The sequence below is a fragment of the Homo sapiens genome, chromosome 20 (genome assembly GCF_000001405.40).
Source record: "Homo sapiens chromosome 20, GRCh38.p14 Primary Assembly".
NCBI classification, from domain to species: domain Eukaryota; kingdom Metazoa; phylum Chordata; class Mammalia; order Primates; family Hominidae; genus Homo; species Homo sapiens.
The window spans coordinates 57323820-57344307 of NC_000020.11; the positions used below are offsets into that span (position 1 = coordinate 57323820).

The 20488-nt window shown below is 39.1% G+C and overlaps 1 protein-coding gene, 1 long non-coding RNA gene and 1 pseudogene across 9 annotated transcripts in view, besides 2 other annotated features; 2 read left to right on the forward strand and 1 right to left on the reverse strand.

The window, feature by feature from the left end:
• LOC105372687 (uncharacterized) overlaps positions 1-5845 on the reverse strand; it is a 55307-nt gene extending 49462 nt beyond the window's left edge. The window contains exons 1-2 of the long non-coding RNA XR_007067670.1: positions 5602-5845; positions 4139-4284 (exon numbers count right to left, since the gene is read on the reverse strand). This is a non-coding gene — a long non-coding RNA (uncharacterized LOC105372687). The remainder of the gene's footprint in view (positions 1-4138; positions 4285-5601) is intronic.
• Positions 2516-3019: an enhancer, noted in NCBI's record as "NANOG-H3K4me1 hESC enhancer chr20:55901391-55901894 (GRCh37/hg19 assembly coordinates)". NCBI's record gives its function as "activates a minimal SCP1, AML or CMV promoter by ChIP-STARR-seq in naive H9 embryonic stem cells {active_cell/tissue: H9 hESC(naive)}" and the evidence as "EXISTENCE:reporter gene assay evidence [ECO:0000049][PMID:30033119]".
• Positions 3020-3522: an enhancer, noted in NCBI's record as "NANOG-H3K4me1 hESC enhancer chr20:55901895-55902397 (GRCh37/hg19 assembly coordinates)". NCBI's record gives its function as "activates a minimal SCP1, AML or CMV promoter by ChIP-STARR-seq in naive H9 embryonic stem cells {active_cell/tissue: H9 hESC(naive)}" and the evidence as "EXISTENCE:reporter gene assay evidence [ECO:0000049][PMID:30033119]".
• On the forward strand, positions 4681-5074 carry RPL39P39 (ribosomal protein L39 pseudogene 39; annotated as a pseudogene).
• Positions 5846-5983: 138 nt separating the features above from the next.
• SPO11 (SPO11 initiator of meiotic double strand breaks) lies at positions 5984-20174 on the forward strand. Of its 8 annotated transcripts, none has more exons than XM_005260379.4 (14): positions 5984-6179; positions 8014-8127; positions 9369-9457; positions 9868-9934; positions 10168-10276; positions 10931-11017; positions 11600-11636; positions 11979-12088; positions 13920-13952; positions 14457-14556; positions 15170-15207; positions 16283-16359; positions 18910-19021; positions 19522-20174. In XM_005260379.4, exons 1-14 carry the CDS (start codon positions 6049-6051, stop codon positions 19639-19641), a joined length of 1224 nt encoding a protein of 407 aa, XP_005260436.1. In that variant the 5' UTR covers positions 5984-6048; the 3' UTR covers positions 19642-20174. The 8 variants fall into 8 exon arrangements, with proteins under 8 accessions (XP_005260436.1, XP_005260437.1, NP_036576.1 ...); XM_005260380.4 differs by having other exon boundaries at positions 11985-12088; XM_011528757.3 differs by lacking the exon at positions 5984-6179 and adding an exon at positions 6301-6377.
• The last annotated feature ends 314 nt before the right edge of the window (positions 20175-20488 follow it).

The following is a 20488-nucleotide window of genomic DNA, read 5'->3' on the forward strand; positions in this document are numbered from 1 at the left end:
AATATTTTTATGAAAAAAAAATCAAACCAGAAACAGTTAAGCCTCCAAATTCAACTCTCAATTTATAAGAAATACCTGAAACAGAAAAACATAGTAAATTATATCACAGGGATGCAATCCCCAAACTCCTAATTGCACAAAACTCTCTGGGACTAATGACTCAGTTTCTTCAACAAGTAAATTGCAAGGAAAGAAAACTGGAGAAGAACCTATAGAATTTAGGAGACTTAAGAGTCATATCAACCAACAGCCATGTGTGGATGGACCTTATTCGCATCTTGATGAAAACAAACTAAACAAACATAACAAATGCCGCATGGTCTCGCTTATATGTGAAATCTAAAAAAGCCAAACTCATAGAAGTGGGAGTAGCATGGTAAGCAACAGAGTGGGGGCTAGGGGACTGGGGAGATAGGGGTCAAAAGATATAAAATTCCAGTTAGACAGGCTGAATAAGGTCAAGAGATCTACTGTACAACATGGTGCCTAGGTAGTTCATGACAAGCTATTGTATTCTTGAAAATCGCTGAGAGTACATTTTAGGACTACCTGTGTGTGTTCTCACCACAAAAAAATGATAAGTATGTGAGCTAAGGTGTATGTTCATTAGCATGATTTAGCTAATCAAGCTAAATATGGATACAGATTTCAAAACAACATGTTGTATAGGATAGATATACACAATTTTTATTTGTCAATTAAAATAGATAACTTTTTTAAATGAGAAGAAAACAATTGCTGAAACAATTGGGGCAATTTCAACAGATAGAATACTTGGTGATATAAAGAATGATTGTTAACATACCTTTTAGTATGATAATGGAATTATAATGTGTTTAAGAGTCCTTTTTTTTTTTAGAAACATGCTGAAACACTTATTAATAAAATAATATGATTCTTGGGATTGGTTTCAAAATAATCTGGTGTGAGGGTAGGTAAGGGGGTGGATGTGGGTGACAAAATGTTGGCCATGAGTTGACAGTCATGGAAGCTGGTGTTGGGTCCACGGTAGTGCATGACAGCACTCTCTAAAAATAAGTGAACATCCTGCTTTTGTTAATAAGATGACCCATAGGCTTGCAAATATTTTGGTGATCTTCTTAACATTAGATTTCATTTTATTCACACCAGGATATGATCTGCTTTACATCACACATCCTGGTACATGATCACTAGCTACAACAACAAGCAAATTAATTCATCAATACTAAGTTGCCTTGACTTTGAGGCAATATCGTATAGCGGCTTAGATCAAAGAAACCCTTCCTGTCAGCACCTTATCACTTGCATCTCTATGAAACCCAGCAATTTTTATACTTCTTGGTACTCAACTTTCTCTGCTGTAAAATGGGAGGGGGTAAATGAGATTTTATGCATGAAGCACTGGGCCCAGTGTCTGACCGTCAGCGAACCTTAGTTCCTATTATTACCAGAAGCAGCAATACCAGTCTGCAGAGTGAAGTCTTACTCTGGACACGTTGCTAATTTGGGCATGAATAGAAAAATGCCTGGGATAAAATACAAGGAATAGGTAACAGAGGTAACCCCATGAGGAGTCACTCATTCAATCATTCCATGTGCCACGTGGAGCTGTGGGCACATGGTAACCAGGAGTCAAGACACAGGGGTGTAGCCCAGGAAGATGTTCAGAGGGCGATCTGAAGGCTGCAGGAGAGTTAGCCAGGTTGGATTTGGGAGGGGAAGGGAGGGGAGTAGGGAAAGAAAAAGGACAAGGGGTCCCAAGCTGTTAAGGGAAAGGCAAGTGCAAAGGCCTTAGAGCAGGAAGGAACAATTCCAAGATGCAAAGGTTGCAGCGAGAAGAGCAGACCAGACCAGAAGCAGTGGCTCACACCTGTAATTCGAACACATTGGGAGACTGAGGCAGGAGGATTGCTTGAGCCCAGGAGGTCAAGGCTGCAGTGAGCTTTGATGGCGCCACTGCACTCTAGCTTGGGTGACAGAGGGAGATCCTATCTCAAAAAAAAAAAAAAGAAAGAAAAAAAAAAAGGAGGACCCAAGAAGGTGGAGCCAGTGCAGCTGCAGTGATGGGGAGCGGGGAGGTCTCTTTCTCTTTCGCTCACATCTCACACACTTCTGAATTATGTCAATATCTTATGAGAAGCATGTAGCAGTCTCACAATTTTCGAAAGCTAAAAAATGCAAAGGAAAAATGGCTATAAACCCTCAAGAAGTAAAGAAAATATTATGGCCTTTTCTCTACTTCTTGTCTAACAAGAAGCTACCATATATTTTTCTTTTTTCTTTTTTTTTTTTTGAGACAGGTTCTGCTCTGTGGCCCAGGCTGGAGAGCAGTGGCGTGAATCTCAGCTCACTCTAACCTCCGCCTCCAGGACTCAAGTGATCCTTCCACCTCAGGCCACCACACCTGGCTAATTTTTGTATTTTTTGTAGAGACATGGTTTCACCATGTTGCCCAGGCTGGTCTCAAACTCCTAAGTTCAAGTGATCTGCTCACCTCGGCCTCCCAAAGTGCCGGGATTACAGGCCTGAGCCACCGCGCCCTGCCATGAATCTACAAAATGTTAAAATTCACTTACATTTGCTAGATAAGCCACCTTGTTTAAATGTAAGAAGTATGCTATCCTCTCCTGTCTGGTTTGTTGAAAGGGCCTCCCCATCCTTGCCTCCCTTCTTTCCCTTTTTTGGATGTGTTAGAGGTGGAACAGATCTTTGCACCTAATTTAAACAATACTCCTTTCCAGCCTGCACAAAGATTTTGGCCCTCTACTGTGTTTCTGGGACTGAGTATGAGTTTGGAGGAAACACCGGCTAGTAGGGTTTGCGGGGAAGCTTCCTGGCCCATAGGGAGAACTCAGTATTGAGACTGTCCTGCAAGTTGGCATTTGTCAGTTTCATTTGCAATGTGTTGCTAGGAGCAGAATATGTTTTTCTGGTTCTTGCTCACAGCCTGGGGCTGGGACTGTTGACTTTGATGTGAAGGTGGTGCACACAGCTGCTGGGGGAGGGCCTATGAGTCCTGCCGTGGAGCAGGATACCTGCAGGGCACAGGCAGAGCCTAGCTGCTGGAGGGTGAGCTGCCCCTCCTGCTTTTGTCAGCGCAGTGGGAACCCCAGCCAAGTCCTTTCAAGTCGCACCTTGCACTTTGCGGTTTCTCCTCTTAGGAATGCCAGGTTTATTACGGGTTTGCTCACTTCACTTCACTGTTCTGATCCTCTCCTTGTGCCCCCACCCAGCTCAGGACCTTTCATTCTGTGTCAGGTCTAGCAAGGCTGCTGGCTTCTGGTTGAGTCTAATGCTAAGTGATACCAAAGGCTCTGTCCTCAGGGGACAGGGAAAAGTGGACAGAAATGTTTCTAGTCCCAGGGGAGAGGCACCTTCCAGCAGACAAGCCTTGACAGTGTCATTGACCTCCTGGCCTGCAAGATCCTTTCATTTGTTTGTTCCTCTTTGGGGATGACGCATGAGAACCCACCTGCCGCACACCCTCATTTGAAAGATGAGAAAACTAAGACCACCACCAAAGCCCCCAGAGAACGATGACACACTCCAAGCCAGACCCCCACAGATGCCTCATATCCAAGTGGTTAAGAGCATGAATTTGGAGTCAAGGTTTAACTCTCAGCTCTGTCACTTACTGGAGGTCCAATCTTACACAAAAGGGTTAATTTCTCCAAACCTCAGTTTCTTCATATGTGAATTGGGTGTACTATTTTTCACCTCTTAAAGTCACTGATTTATTTTCAGTGCATTTCTTACCCTGCCAACTTAATTATGTAAGAGTTCATCTGGCCAGGTGCAGTGGCTCACGCCCATAATCCCAGCACTTTGGGAGGGTGAGGAGGATGGATCACCTGAGGTCAGGAGTTCGAGACCAGCCTGGCCAACATGGTGAAACCCCATCTCTACTAAAAAATACAAAAACCTAGCCGGGTGCGATGGCACTTGCCTGTAATCCCAGCTACTCAGGAGGCTGAGGCAGGAGAATTACTTGAACCCAGGAGGCGGAGATTGCAGTGAGCCGAGATTGTGCCACTGCACTCCAGCCTGGGAAACAAGAGCGAAACTCCATCTCAAAAAAAAAAAAAAAAGTTCACCTGATTGCCTTTAGTTCTCCCCTCCTTTTAGGCTCCGAGCTCCCTAAGAGGAAGGGGTTTACCTGCCTTGTTCACAGCTGTGTCCTCGGTAATAAACCTTGCCCGGTGCAAGGTAGGCAGTGAGGAAGTATTTGTGATAACAGCAATGTAAAGCCATCAACACAGTGCTTGGTACATGCAGAACAGCCATCAACACAGGCAACCATCCCTGTGAACAGAGGGAGTGCATTATTTATGATGGGAAACTAGTTTTAGTTGGAAAATTATCAAATTACCAGGAACGGAAAGAACAAAACAGTTCTCCCAAGTAGCTCTTCTGGGGCCAAGCCCCAGCACCCCACCCATGCAGGACCAGGCCCCCAAAGGCCTTGGAACCACCTTGTTCCAGGGTCTCGCTCCACTGTCCTCTCCTCCTTCCCAAAGTCAGGACTCCTTTCCTTGGGCTTCAGAATTCCTATCTTCTGCTCTAGAAGGCTTGGAGCAAGTGGGGGAAAGGCACCACTCACCAAGTCTGTCAGGGGATGACATGGTATAGAGGGAGAGGAGCTACATAAAATACAAGATGCCAGTTAAGTTTGAATTTCACATAAACAATGAAATAACATTCCTTTCTCTGCCATCGTGGTGTGTGCTTGACTCCACTTCTCGCCATGTCTTTCCCACAAGACTTTTGGGATTAAGCAATTCCTGGCCAAGAAACAAAAGCAAAATCGTCCCCAGTGGATTCGGATGAAAACTGATAATAAAATCAGGTACAACTCCAAAAGGAGACATTGAAGAAGAACCGAGCTGGGCCTATAAGGAATTGCACATGAGAGGGCACACATATTTATGCTGTCTGAAGGTCACAGTCATGTTACCACATCAAGCTGAAAATGTCACCGCTCTCTGGAGAGTTGTACATGTTTTATTGAGAATATATTTTTTCTCTCTGAATCTGTGATGAATGCGTTGGTTGGCTGGGTTCAGTAATAAATATGTGAGACCTTTCACTTAAAAAAAAAAAGAACTATTTTTTTTTTTTTGAGAAGGGATCGCCCTGTGTTGCCCAGCCTGGAGTACAGTGGCTATTCACAGGCACAATCCTAGCGCACAGCAGCCTTCAACTCCTGGAGCCTCTAAATCCATCCTCCTGCCTCAGCCTCCCTAGTAGCTGGGACTACGGGTGAGTACCACTGTGCAAGGCTACAAAATAACTTTTTAGTAAAAGTATATCCCAAACTTTATACGAGACGTAGTTACTCTAAAAAAAAAAAAGGATTTGCTGTTTATCTGAAATTCTAATTTAACTGGTTGTCCTGGATTTTCTTTGCCAAATTGGTCTGCCCTACGGAGTGCGAGGGCTGGGATTTTAACCCAGGCCTGCCTGCTCTGAGCTGACCTTTCCTGGCACCTGCAAAATTAGGATGACACGTTAGGAACTTCCTGGGGTTCTTAAGGGAATTAGAAGAGGGACCTGAGTGCAAAGGGCTTTGGAGGCATTCAACTGCTATGAAACGTTAGTAAGGACAGGGATTGCGTTCACCTCAATCACAGCTGAACCCATTGCCGAGAACTGTTATCCCACACAGCTGGATCTTCATCATTATGTGTTTTAATGAAAAATCGCTGATATTGCTGTCCCTAAATAGCCAACCCCCAAAATAATTAAATCACCTCAAGGGACTCTAGGTCCAATATCCGCAGCACGCCACACAAACATCTCTCAGCTCAGCCACGCAGGGCCGATGCCTGCGCGACCCACACTCAGGGAGGCGCCCGCCTCAGGGCCTCACAGGTGGGACCGCGCCTGAGAGCCCTGCGCTTGCGCACTCCACGCCGTGCTCTACGCATACGCCTGTCCAGCCCCGCCTCTGGGTGTGTGGCGTGGGCACGCCGGCCGCTCAGAAAGCGCGGGAAAGGCACGCAGCCACGCCCCAAGGGCGCAGCCTAGGACAGGGGCTTCTGGAGCTTCTGGCAGCCGTCTGCCCTCATGGCCTTTGCACCTATGGGGCCCGAGGCCTCGTTCTTCGACGTTTTGGACCGACACAGGGAGTCCCTGCTGGCTGCCCTGAGGAGAGGTGGCAGGGAGCCCCCAACTGGGGGAAGCCGCCTGGCCTCCAGGTACAGGAGCTGGTGCCGAGGCGCGACGCAGCCACTCTGTAGAAAAGTCGGGCGCTCTTCCTGGCCCCGGGCTGCCTCCTAGTGTTGAGGCTGAGGAGGCACCCCTTGGCGGGCCAGCCAGGAACCCCCAAAAAGATCCTTCCTGAGTACCCGTGACCTGCTTTGAACCCTTATTTTGAACTCAAAAAAGAAAGCCAGGTGGCAGCCCCCCTTCTGTGGCTTCTAGGATGTTCCCCTTCTAGAACGTTCCAGAGGCTCCCTGCAGCTGGGTTGGAAGGTTTCCTAAGATCCTTATAGGTTGGGGAGTTTGGGGTACAGTTAGCTTTGTATTTTTTAAACGTTTTTTGGGATAAAATTTTTGGTTAAACTTTAAGGGTTTTTTTTGGTTTTTATTTTTTGGTTTTTTTTTAGAAAGAAAATGAGTGTTGTATGTCTTCTCTCAGTAAGCGAATGGTTTTCTCAGAATTAACAAGGACATCAACACATTTTAAGTGGTTTATAATAAGACAACATGTTTAATTGTTTTGCAAGTGGAGAGAATGTACATATTTTAAATGATTTATTTAAAATCAATTACAGGAACCCTCCAGCTATCCATGTTAGAATTAACCACAGAAAACATGACTACGTTATTGACCATTTTCACTTAAAAATACTTTATTTTGTTTCCTCGACTTGCTTTCTTGGTTGAGCAAAGTTTTTCAGCCTTTTATTTTTAAGCCCAAACCAACCACCAAAAAATCTGAAAAACCTACAAACAAACCAATTTTTACAAAAGAATTTATTTTGAGGGAGAACTTGGGAGAGTGAGGGAAAAGGAGAGTGGCAAGTCCCTTGTTAATATCGCAGATGTAGACGAATCTGATTGTATCTTAAAGTTGGTTACAGTATTATCCTGCAACACTTTTTTTCTCCAAACTAGGAAAAATGAGTATTTGGGTCAGTTTTTACCTCCCAATATTAGAATAGATTAAATGTTTTAAAATTCATTTTCTGAAACACAAGTTTTCAGTAAAAATTCTGAAGTTCCTGTGGAAATTAAAACTCTCAACATTTTGCCCGTTTTCTAGAGTGCATTTGATTTCTCTTCCTAGACAATAAGCTCATGGTGTTTATAACAGAACAACATTTTTTGCAGCTGATGGCTTGTGAAATTAACAGTCAGCTGACAGAAAACTGGGCTTAGTCTTCGCATTTTGCTGTAGAGTGGCGTAATAGCTGCCAAGTCAACCGTTTGTTGCAGAACTCACAATTTATTCTTTCCAGGGTAGTGATTAAACGTTTTCCTTTTTGTATCGCTAAATTTCAAAAGAGCCGATTTTAAGGCATGAGATCAACTAGGGTAATGTGCGACCACAAAAGGTGTTTCTTTTGAAATTTTTGCATTGCATTTTTGGGAAAGAAATTCAAAGCCAATATTGTATCACTTTTTAATTAAAACATATATCAGTAGTATGTCAAGTCTAGTTTGTATTCAAGTTCAGCTAGATTACAGTAGGTTAATATGATAAAATTACAGTTGTAAATTTAGTCATTAATGTAAAAGGGAGACCTTCCATTGGTAATTGCTTGAGAAGTAAAATTACAAGCAAATGAAATTTATTTGTAAATACAGTTGTTTTAATGCAGTAGTAAAGGTTTAATGGGAGAGATAATTATTGACATGGATTACCTAGTCTTTTTTTTTGTCTTTTTTTAAAACCCCACCCCAATTACCTAGTCTTAAAAAAGAATAAAATAAAAAGTTACTTTAGTATTGATCTGGGAAAATCTTACATATTAAAAAGTCAAAATTTATGATTAAGATGGAATCATGCTCTGTTTATTGTTTCAGTTCTGAGGTTCTTGCATCTATAGAAAATATTATCCAAGACATAATCACAAGCTTGGCAAGAAATGAAGCACCTGCATTCACGATAGACAACAGATCAAGCTGGGAAAACATAAAGTGGGCATTTTGCATTTTTATTTTTTAAATGCAATATCTATGTCATTATTAAAATTATTTGAATTAGAGTTCTGGTCATATTTTTTTCATTTTATTGCCTTTACCTTGCCAAAAAAAAGGATTTAGGAAGTTTACGAAATACATACCATACAGAGAGGTTATGTAAACTAGAAGTAGGTGTGAAAGATGAGGCAAAGGAAAACAATGCTAGCACCAACAGAATGGAGCACCAGAAGAGGTTAGAATTCCAAATGCATGTGATAAAGTCTCATAATTTTGCTAAGAATAGGCACCATACTTGGAGCTAAGCTTTCTAGCAGTCAGAGGGGGAGATGTCATGGGTGCAATTCTCACATATGCCACAAAAGCAAACCACTTGCTCAGGGGAAATATAACCAATCCTGATACCAGACCAAAATAAAAGTATCCTGAACATAGAGCACATTTAAGGCTTTCTCCTGACAGATCTTCTGCCCCTGCTAAATCATGTGTCCAAAAAGGGTAAAATCAGCAAACAGCTTTATCAGAATTCTTGAACCTAGTTATACCGGTTTTTTCCAGCCTCTCATATTTTTTAAGAGATACAGAAACAAAATGAAAGGAATTTTGAGTCTCCTTCATCACTGTTGTTTTATGATCTATATAAGTAATATAAGCTGTATACTTTTCAGTCATGTTTTGAAAGATGGATTTTATCTAGCTTTGAAGCAGCTTACACCTGACATATCCACCTGGTGCCTTCTGCCACCTTTAGGGGAAGCTTGGCAGTTCAACTTAACCTAATAAAATTGTTATTTTATGTAATGTAATTTTGCAGGTAAATCAGAAATGAAACATTTCAAAGCTTATTAAATTGAGTAAAATTATTAAATGAGTAGGTTATTAAAATGAGTAAAGTACTAATTGTGAAATATTTGAAAACATTTTACATACACTAAAAATGTCTTCCCAGTAAAAAAGTATGCACACACACAAACACACTCCCACACCCCCTAATCAAAGGTGTTAGCTCATTTATGTTAAATGGTTTATCTTAGTGCCTCTGTATGTCACAAACCTAATTTCCTAGTTATCACCTGGAATGATCTATGCTCTCAAACCAGTTGATCCTAAAGCTTCAGTGCTTAAATTGAGAAGAAATGTGGGTTTTAAATGATGTGCAGAAGACCATAAGTATATATTGTTTGGTGTTTAGAAGTTGTCTTTTTCACTTTTTTCCTTTGCTTTAAACAAAATGACAGGTTTGAAGATTCTGTGGGTCTTCAGATGGTATCCCATTGCACCACCAGAAAGATCAAAAGTGATTCACCAAAATCAGCTCAAAAATTTTGTAAGTTAATTGTTCTTAGCTTTTGGTAATAAAGGATAAATAAATTTTGTTATCTTCTCAATTTTATTTGTTGCTAGTTAAATAATTTTACCTGTTTTTAATAGATCACTTTCATACATAAAATAAATTTCTATAATTTTTCATTGTCAATAACTATGGAAGTAGGTTATCAACATAAACATTTTTCAAGGTATATGGTTCAGTGCATAATTATCCTCTCAGTTTTGCTATCCATAGAGCAATTAATTTTAACTGATTCTGCAGGTAATTGTTCTGTACTTAACCCTCCCATTTTGGAAAGATAATTTTTTAAATGTTAACTAAAATTAAGTTAAAATCCTTGATAGCAGTATCTTTTGAATCAGTAAGAGAAATGATGAGTAACTTGTTTGTTGAATTTTATTTTCCAGCTCTAATCCTTAAAATATTGTCCATGATTTATAAATTAGTACAGAGCAACACTTATGCAACCAAAAGGTAAATATATTGTTCTAGTAAATTACTCTTCAAAATGTAATGTGAGAAATAGTTGGATTAACTTTTATTATATGCTTTGAAAAGTTACATAAGACTAAACTATAGCTCATAATTTACTTTCTTTATATGTTGTGTTTTCATCCAGTTAAAGCTTTCTTCAATTAACACTGTAATACTTGTCATATTCAAAAAGAATATAGTTAATTAAAAATATGTATTTTAAATTTTCATAGGGACATATATTACACTGACAGTCAACTCTTTGGTAACCAGACTGTCGTCGACAATATTATCAATGACATTTCTTGCATGTTAAAAGTGTCAAGGAGGAGTCTACATATAGTAAGTAGTACCTAATACAAAACATTTTATTTTAAAACAAAATGTTTGTATAAAACATAATTTTTTTTTTTTTTTTTGAGACGGAGTCTTGCTCTGTCGCCTAGGCTGGAGTGCAGTGGCGCGATCTCAACTCACTGCAAGCTCTGCCTCCTGGGTTCATGCCATTCTCCTGCCTCAGCCTCCCGAGTAGCTGGGACTACAGGCGCCTGCCACCACGCCCGGCTAATTTTTTGTATTGTTAGTAGGGACTAGGTTTCACTGTGTTAGCCAGGATGGTCTCGATCTCCTGACCTCGTGATCCACCTGCCTCGGCCTCCCAAAGTTCTAGGATTACAGGCGTAAGCCACCGCGCCCAGACAAAACATAATTTTAAAACATAATATAGTCTTCTTTTGCTATTATTTGATGCTTGCATTTTTCTCACTATAAATTTAAGTAATAGATTCTCAATATATTCCTTTGGGTGAATGGACCAAACTGATGAATTACCAAATATTTTTAATTCCTAAATCCCTTACATATTTTCTCTTTCATCTCTGAAATTTCAATCCAAGTGAAAATGCCAGTAATTCAGCAGATGAACACAAGGAGTGACTTAATAGCATAAAACATATTCGTGAAGCAGGTTTCAAATATGTCTATTATTTTTTGCAGTTATCTACATCAAAAGGTTTAATTGCTGGCAACTTAAGATACATCGAGGAAGATGGCACCAAAGTGAATTGTACCTGTGGTGCAACGGTAAGAAGCATCATTGAAGTTTTCACAGCTTTAACTCTTCTAGCTCCTTCAGTTTTGAAGCATAATTTTATTTCTTGCTTTATTATGTAACCTAGAGCTTAAGATTTCAAAATAAAACTGAAAGATGGATAGGAATATGCTTTACAGAACTGTACATTACATAGTTTCAAATTATGCTAATTGTCAAATGTCAGATTGAAATAAACATACAAATATAACTCTTAAAAATGCACTATTATTTTCAGATAAAGTGTGGCTTGGTCATTTTAGCATGTTATTTAGTAATGTTCATAAAATTTTCTGGTTCTGAAAGTAATATTTTTAATACTAAACTATTTGCTGGGCTTTGATACAAAGAGAGCCCACAGTACTAAACTTAGTACCCCTGTTGGGAGAATTGCTGTGAGTCATGTGCCGGTTTTCTTACTGAGGGGTAAAGCTGTTTTCTACTATTTTTTAACAGAGGAAGAAGTCTCTGATGACTGGTATGGTCAAAGAAAAATAAAAACAGAGGGCTTTGTGATAAACTAAAAATGTGGTTATTTTGCTTTTTATGTAAGATAAAAACTTTTTTTTTAAAAGGCTGTTGCTGTGCCATCGAATATTCAAGGAATTCGGAGTATCCTTTAAGTGGGAAAACTATTTAAACTTTTGGAATGTTCATTCATTCATTAATTCCTTTGGTAAGCCAAGCCTTCATAATGTGTAAGGAACAAGTTAGGCCCTGTAGCAGTCAAGATGAACACACCATGGTCCCTTCTTTAGTACTCTTTTAGGAGCTCACCATCTAGTGGAAGAGACAGATATCTGAATATATGAATAGATGTGTTTATATGTTTGAAGGTACAAACTAAAATGTTGTATCTATAGCTGCTTTTGAATTATCTATATGGCACCTTAATTTAGTTGGTGATTAAATTGAAATACTCTTGCTTTCAATTTATCAGCCTTAACTTCACAGATTTAGTTACAGATGCAAAGTTTGTATTAATTGTAGAAAAAGATGCAACATTTCAGCGGCTCCTAGATGACAACTTTTGCAACAAATTGTCTCCTTGCATCATGATTACGGTATATTATCTAACTTTACTACAATTCCAAGACTAATGTATACTGTTATGGTGATTGGTAAGAGGATTTACAATATTATCTACACAATGTCCTGTTTTCAATATAATGCATCCTTTGGGATCATAGAACGGGAATTTCCAATGTGTTTATTTAAACATCCTCAAAGCTGGCTATCACCTCAAGTTCTTTTTTTTTTAATAGAGACAGGGTCTCGCTCTGTTGCCCAGGCCGAAGTACCATGGCATGATCATAGAGCACTGTAACCTTGATAAGTTCATGTTTCTAAAACCACACTCAAAAGCTTTCTTCCTTGAAAAGCTGAGTGTTCCTGCCACTTGTCCTGTGGCTATCAGTGCAGACACTGCAATGAGGTCCACACGTCAGAGTCAGTTTGACTTACTCCTCACATCCCATGGTCACCAAGTCCTTTTGAATTGGCCTTGGGAATCTCTTTCATTTCAGCCCTTTCTCCTTAATCCTTCCCCTTTCATTCTTACACAAGACAACCACCTGGTAGCCTCCAGACAGGCCCCTGACTTCAATTATCTCTCATCCCTGCCACACCAGACTTGTCATTTCCCTCCTTGCCAGTTCAAAAACTTTTGGTTTTGTCTGATACTTCTACTCCAAATCTGGATGCCTCTGTGGAACTGGTCAGCCCTTCTAAGACTCCATTCCGCCTCCTCTCCAGGGCAGCGCTCCTCACTGCCTCCATAAACATCTCTCGCAAATGCCTCTCAAGAAGAGGCTGGGACTCGAGGGCCATATTAGGAAGAGCCATTTTTCACCAGGTCCTTTAACCCTGTTTGACTCCTCTACTGTGTTCATGTGCTATTATTTTTCCCAAAGAACATTATGAAAATACACTAAATACTCACGATGAGCTAGGACCCCTGCTAAGCACTTGACATAGTAAGAGTTCACATTTACTGGTGTTTATCACATGTCAACTTGTATAGGCTCTCAATGGCCTTAGGAGGTAGGTACTAACATCATCGTCACTTTAATAATGGGGTACTGGAATGCAGGAAGGTATTTTACCACGTCTCTATGGCTATTCAAAACCAGGACTGGATTTGAATAGTTGAAATCCATGTTGCTATAATGCCATCACTTGGTGTGATAGGCATATTTATGCTGATTTTATAGATAAAGCCATGGCCTAAAGAGACTAAGAAACTTGCCCAACATCACACCACTGATGATGGGCAGAGAGGGAATTCAAACTCGGAGCTGTGACCCGAAGCCCATTCTGAATCTCTAGGGCTACTCTGCGCTCTTCCTCTGCTCTCTGTTTCATTTGGTTTTCTGCTTTTCTCTAACATTGTTGTAACACTCTTCAATTTACTTTTCTACATAATTATTATTTTAATGACTTCATAATATTATCCCACCATTTAAGTTTTATTAAACCCTAAATTTAAGCCAGGTACTCTTCTAAGTGCTTTATGATTATTAAATAATTTAATTCCTATAATAATCTCATATGTTGTTACAGAGCATCAAACCACAGAGTGGTTTTGTTACTCATTCAAGTTCATGCTGCTAAGAAGTAGCAGAGCTGAGATGCGAGCTCAGGCTGCCTAGCCCCGCAACTGCTGCAGATCACCGCTGTACTATGCTGCCTCTCCACATCCCTGTTGTTAGATATTTTGGCTATTTATATTAGTTTGCGCCATTTTAAATAACACTTCAGTGAGCATCTTTAAATATGTAGGATGTTTATTATTTCTGTTTTTGCTGAAATATTTCCTTAGGACCATTTCCTAGGACTGGCATAATTCCCAGTCCTTCAGTCTGTTTGTATATAATGTACATTTTTTTTTCACAGTCAACACCAGTCTTTCAGCACCTGAAATCCAAGGTAGGAAGATGTAACCCTTTTTTTTGGTGCTGTGACTCAGATATGAACCAGGGTTGCTGTGGCCACATGCAGAGTACTAACCGTTGTATGAGCATAACCTATAATTTATTATTACTATTATTATTATGATTTTGAGGTGGAGTTTCACTCTTTTTGCCCAGGCTGGAGTGCAATGGCGTGATTTCGGCTCATTGCAACTTCTGCCTCCTAGGTTCAAGTGATTCTCCTGCCTCAGCCTCCCGAGTACCTGGGATTACAGGCGTGTACCACCACACCTGGCTAATTTTGTATTTTTAGTAGAGACGGGGTTTCACCACGTTGGCCAGACTGGTCTCAAATTCCTGACCTCAGGTGATCGATCCCCCTACCTTGGCCTCCCAACGTGCTGGGATTACAGGCGTGAACCACTGCGTCCAGCCTAACTTTTAAATTATTAATAAGAGTATAATTGTAACCATTTTATTCTACTGAAGTTAAAATTCTTAATTTTCATCTTCCTTTTAGGGAAAGGGAGTTCCTGATCTAAACACAAGACTTTTAGTCAAGAAACTGTGGGATACATTTCATGTTCCTGTTTTCACTCTTGTAGATGCTGATCCACATGGTAATTTATCACTGGACTATTTACAACAATAGTCATAACTAAATCATATTTGTTGTTGTGTTTTCTTCCTCTTTTTTTTTTTTTCTTTTTGAGATTGAGTCCTGCTCTGTCACCCAGGAGTGCAATGGCGCGATCTTGGCTCACTGCAACCTCCACCTCCTGGGTTCAAGTGATTCTCCTGCCTCAGCCTCCTGAGTAGCTGGAACTATAGGCACATGCCACCATGCCTGGCTAATTTTTTATATTTTTAGTAGAGACGGGGTTTTACCATGTTGGCCAGGCTGGTCTCGAACTCCTGACCTCAGGTAATCTGCCCACCTCGGCATCCCAAAGTGCTGGGATTACAGGCAGGAACCACCGTGCCCAGCCTGTAGTTGTGTTTTCTACTCTCGGGACACTTATGAAACATTTTAAAAGAAAATGATTACATTAAAATTTGGTCTATAATTATTTGACACAATTTATCGTTACTTTGTCATATTAAACTGAGAATGATAAATTTTTCACTGGTGATGTCCACAAAATTAAAATTATAGATAGATAAAATTTGAGAGTGCAAATTAACCTGTAATATGTAAGGAGACTAATTTTATAGTTAACTTTCTTTTAACAGGCATAGAAATAATGTGCATCTATAAGTATGGATCTATGGTAAGTATAGAAAAGCAGTTTTCCTTTTTTATTATTTAGACATTTTATATTCATTGAGGTGATTTCTGCATTTATTAATCACCCCCAAGCAGGCTGAGAGTGCCCAAAGTGTACCTGAGGGCCTAGTATCCTATTCTAGGAGCAATCTGTGTGTCGGTGGCTGTGACTCCAGCTCCCAGTATGACCAGTGCAAACACAGATGACAGAGTGGGATTAGCTGTGGGCAAGCAGCATTATTATCCTGCACTCTCTTGGCATACTGAAGGAACTGTGGGGCTCTGGGGTGACAACAACGCTGTCTGATCACCAAATATACTCGAAATATTATATAGAGCCTTGAATTCTGACTTTTCTAATCCCTTTTCTCCCACCATAAGGAGAAATGGAAACAATAAATGTCACCACCAGTGTCTACAATTACCATATACCAGTGGTCTCACAGTGTGGTCCTAAGCCAGGAGCATCAGCATCATCTGGAAGATTCTTAGAAATGCAAATCTCAGTCCCCATCCAGAACTACTGAGCCAAAATCTCTAGGGGTGGGATCCTCCAAGCATTCTGATGCATGGTGAAATTTATAGCAGATGAAAAGGATGGTGGAGCAGGGTGTAAGATGGGGAATCATGAACAATAAGAAATGTAGGTCAGAGGGCTTCATTTATAGTTTGCTTTAGAAAATTAATACAGAAACACTATATAGAAGTTGTGGTTGTTGTTTTGTTGCTGTTTTGAGACAGGGTCTCACTCTGTCATCCAGGCTGGAGTGCGGTGGTGCAGTGACAGCTCACTGCAACCTTGGACTTTTGAGCTCAAGCCATCCTCCCGCCTTGGTCTCCCAAAGTACTGGGATTACAAGCATGAGCCACCGCACTTAACCCAGAGAAGTTTTAACACCTTCACTAAAAGCCCAGCTTAGCATAGCCCCTGATGGTTTTCTTACTTCTGTGGGCTCTGGGCATGTGAAGCCAGCTTTAGTACTTGTCCTTCTTAATAAGTGAAAAATTTGACTGAAAAACAAGAATGCTAGTTTTCTACAATTTAGCCTCACCTAATATACTTTTGTTCTTTATTTTAGTCTATGTCTTTTGAAGCTCATCATCTCACAGTTCCAGCTATTAGATGGCTTGGTCTTCTCCCTTCTGATCTTAAAAGGTTAGATAGTATAGCAGAACTAGGATATTTAAAATGACAGTTCATTATCATATGTAACAATAAGCCTAAAAAGTCACTACAAGGGAAAGCTCTTAATGTTTTTTATTTATATTGTCCACGATGACTTATGATTATGTAATTATGAATTAAATTCATTAATGTTTCTGTTTCAACTACTAAAATATTTAACACATGAATTTGGTTAATGTGTTACACTTTCAGCTAGCTAAAACTTTCTGTTTTACTTTTATGGTTAAGACATTTTATACACTTTTTATACTTAAAAGTACAATACATTGTAGGCCGGGCACATGGTGGCTGACGCCTGTAATCCCAGCACTTTGGGAGGCCAAGGTGGGCGGATCACTTGAGGCCAGGAGTTTGAGACCAGCCAGGGCAACGTGACAAAACCCTGTCTCTACTAAAAATGCAAACATTAGCTGGGTGTGGTGGTGGTGTATGCCTGTAATCCCAGCTACCGGGAAGGCTGAGGCCCAAGAATTGCTTGAACCTGGGAGACGGCAGTTGCAGTGAGCCACGATCGCACCACTGCACTCCAGCCTGGGTGACAGAGCTTGACTCTGTCTCCAAAAAAAAAAAAGTACAATATAGTAAATCCAATTAAATTGTAACCATTGACAACATCATTTGCCATATGAATCAATTTTTGTCATAGATTTAAATTTTTAACTTCAAAAGAAAAATATCATTTTAAGAGTATTAAAATTTGGGAACTTCAAGTTTGGCAAGTTTATTATATATGTTCATTATAGAAAAAAATATTAAGCAACAAGTTAAATATCACCTACAGATCAGCAGCCTTACCTTTGTAGATTTTTTTTCTGTGCATAGCCATAACTTTTTCACAAAACTGAGATCATACTCTGTTATTTTATAATCTGCTTTTTTTAAAACACAACAAAATAATGTGATCACTTTTCCATGTCAATAAAGTACATTTCTTATTTTAGCATCTTTTGTTGCTGAGTTTTAACTCTAGATGTGCTAGTGTTTATTCAGCCATTCCCTCATAGCCATTTAAGTGGTTTCCAAATCTCTATTCTGATAGGTCGTGCTTTGATGCAGTCTCTTGTAACTAAATCTCTATGCACATCCTTAGTTAGTCCCTTAGGCTGAATTCCCAGAAGAACTGGTGGGTCAAAGAGGATCCCCATAATCAGGGTTTGACTGTTGTCTGGATAGATTAAGTTTCTTGCTTTCTCTGAAGAGTAAGAGTCCACCTGTCCCTCAGCTTATGGCATTAACATTTTTTTTCACCTCTGCTAATGTGATATTTTAAAATGTTTTATTGTTGTAATTGGTCAGTAAGAATGAATTTAAACATGTTTATTGGATTTCTTTAAGTGGTGAGCAATCCTTGATAACAGTTGCTTGTTTCCTAAATATGGAATGTGAACAGGTTTTGGGTGATCAGCCACTTCCTATAAAATGAGGGTCCAAGAGGAAACATTTCATTCTTTATTTTTGAATATTCACACTCCACTGGATTAACGTGTTCAATTTAGTGTATGTGTGTCATGGTCAGAATCCCTTGGGGGTGATCTGTTTGTATAAAAACAATTTTAACACAAATTCAAGACATATGATCTGATAATTAGTAAGGTGAATAGCTTCAAGAAACTCTAGCTGCATCTCATAAATTCTATCAGTGCACTAAAAAGCCACTCCAAATGAATATACGATCAAAGGAAAAACACTATGGTAGCTACAGAAGCCAGGCTGCAAGGGAAATCCTCCAGGCCTCCCTTTCAATCAAATTGTCACCCCTATCCAAGAACTGCCCCTGGCAAATGGTCATAATTATGGACACATTGAAAAAGACTCTCCTGGGAAATCTAGGATTTGTGACTTCAAAAGGTAGTCCACACCATAAATCCAGGACCTCTCATGTTCTATTTTTAAAACACATACCATGATAAAGTTATATTCCACGTTTTTCAAATTTAAAACTAGATAGGTAAGAATGTGTTTGTGTGTGTGTAAAGTGATAAAAGTGTGTGTGTGTGTGTGTAAAATGATAAAAGTGAGACACTAACTTCCATGGCCCAGAATCTTCAAATGAATTATGAAGAATTAAATACTCAATGGAACCTAAAGTCCCTCAGTGAATCTCAGCCGTTGGCCATGCATATTGGAGCTCACTGCCAGAAGAGTGTGAAGCTCTGAGAGGCTTAATGTACATTATTAAGCTGCCCTGGTATCTGTATACCTGATGGTAGTGCTATTGGCATTTGTTTAATAACCAATATCAGTCTTCCTGTCATCCTGTCATCATCCCACGAGTGTGACATGAAGGAAAACAAAAACTTTAGAATCTTACTGTGGAAACACAAACTTCCACTATGAACTTGAAAACTTGCTGGTCTAAGACATGACAGATCCCTTCAATCCTGGATGTAAGAGGTAGATCTGTACTAATTTTCTTATTTCTGAGTTTCTTGAAGTAGTACCATAAATACAGGCAAAATACAGGACATTCAAGTTACAGAAACACTTTTTTACTGATTTTTTTCACCTACTTTTTTCCAGATTAAATGTACCTAAAGATAGTTTGATTCCACTGACAAAAAGGGACCAAATGAAACTTGACAGTATCCTGAGGAGACCTTATGTTACCTGCCAACCATTTTGGAGAAAAGAAGTATGTTTCCTTTTACAACTCAAGTGTTGCATGTTTAATTGTCTTTTACTTTAGTAGTGGCTATTCACATCGTATTTTGAAAATATCCCTCTTGAAATTTTATATGACACGACTAACATAAGTGTTGTTTGGCAGTAAATAGTTGTTGAAATTGAGTCATATGAATGCTAATAGATGAGATCAGTGAATGGAGCTGGCCTGTTTGTATCCTTATCATGGTTATATACACATTCTTGATGGCTGTATCATAGTTTGTGGGATTAAAAAAAGGAAGAAGAAATCATAAAGATTTCAGACTATCCCTAATTATTGAAGACAGCATACAGAGTACTCTCACTCCAGATATTTTTAGCTGTAGCAGCTCTGGAATATTCTGGCTGACCCTTAAGACTATTGTCCCTGGTTTTGGAGAATAAAGCAATTCTAGATTACTAGTTTGTTGAATTGACAGAAATGCAACTAAGAACTCTGGTATGAGTACATTTTACTTTTATTGACAGATGGAAATAATGGCAGACTCTAAAATGAAGGCAGAAATTCAAGCTTTGACTTTCCTATCATCAGATTATCTTTCCAGAGTGTACTTACCTAACAAATTAAAATTTGGAGGATGGATATAAAAATAAATCAGAAGAACTTCTGATTGCCAGAGGCTTTTCATTAGTTTTGTTTTGATTGGCAAATACTATTGTGGAAAGAACATATATTATATTCTTAATTCTGTAAAAGTGAAATAAAATAACTTTCCGTTAATTATATATTTTTGTCAAAACAAATGCTGTACTCCAATTTTCTTTGCAAGGCCTTATTCTTGCCTCTATAGAGACAGATTTCTGTCCTATCTTCTAAAGCAAATTATAAAAGAATATGTTATTTTGACCTTTAAATTATTTTTGAAAAAATAATATTTTATACATGTCATCAAAGTCTACAAAATATTTACCTTCTACGATACAACTAATGTTAACGCATAAAGTATCTTACTGGTAACAAAAATCATAATGATCTGAATTTGAGATGTTGCAAATGAATTGTGGTGTCCGGTAGTTTCTTCTTACATTTTCCTTTGCCTTTATACTTTAGGGGTCTTACTCCATTAATTCATTTGTTACATTAGTAAAATTCAGTATGAATAAATATTTGGATTGATGTAGTCTTCAGTGTTTTGCTTTATTTTGTATTGAGCCTATTTTTTATTGATAATATTATTTATTTGAAAAGTTTCTCGAAGGTCTTGAATGCTTCTCTAGTCTGTCTATAGAACAAAAAACTTCTTCAGTTTTAAGATCTACAGAAGCCTCAGATTTTAATAAGGTACTTCTCCAACAGTAAATATGTGACCTTTTCCCTCCATAAACCTATCTTAATTTTGCCAGAGGTCAGTTTTATGATTTTATTCTGTACTTTCAGTAAACCTTTAACTGCACTGAAAGTTTCTTGTGCTTGCAAGCAAGAATAAGAATTTAT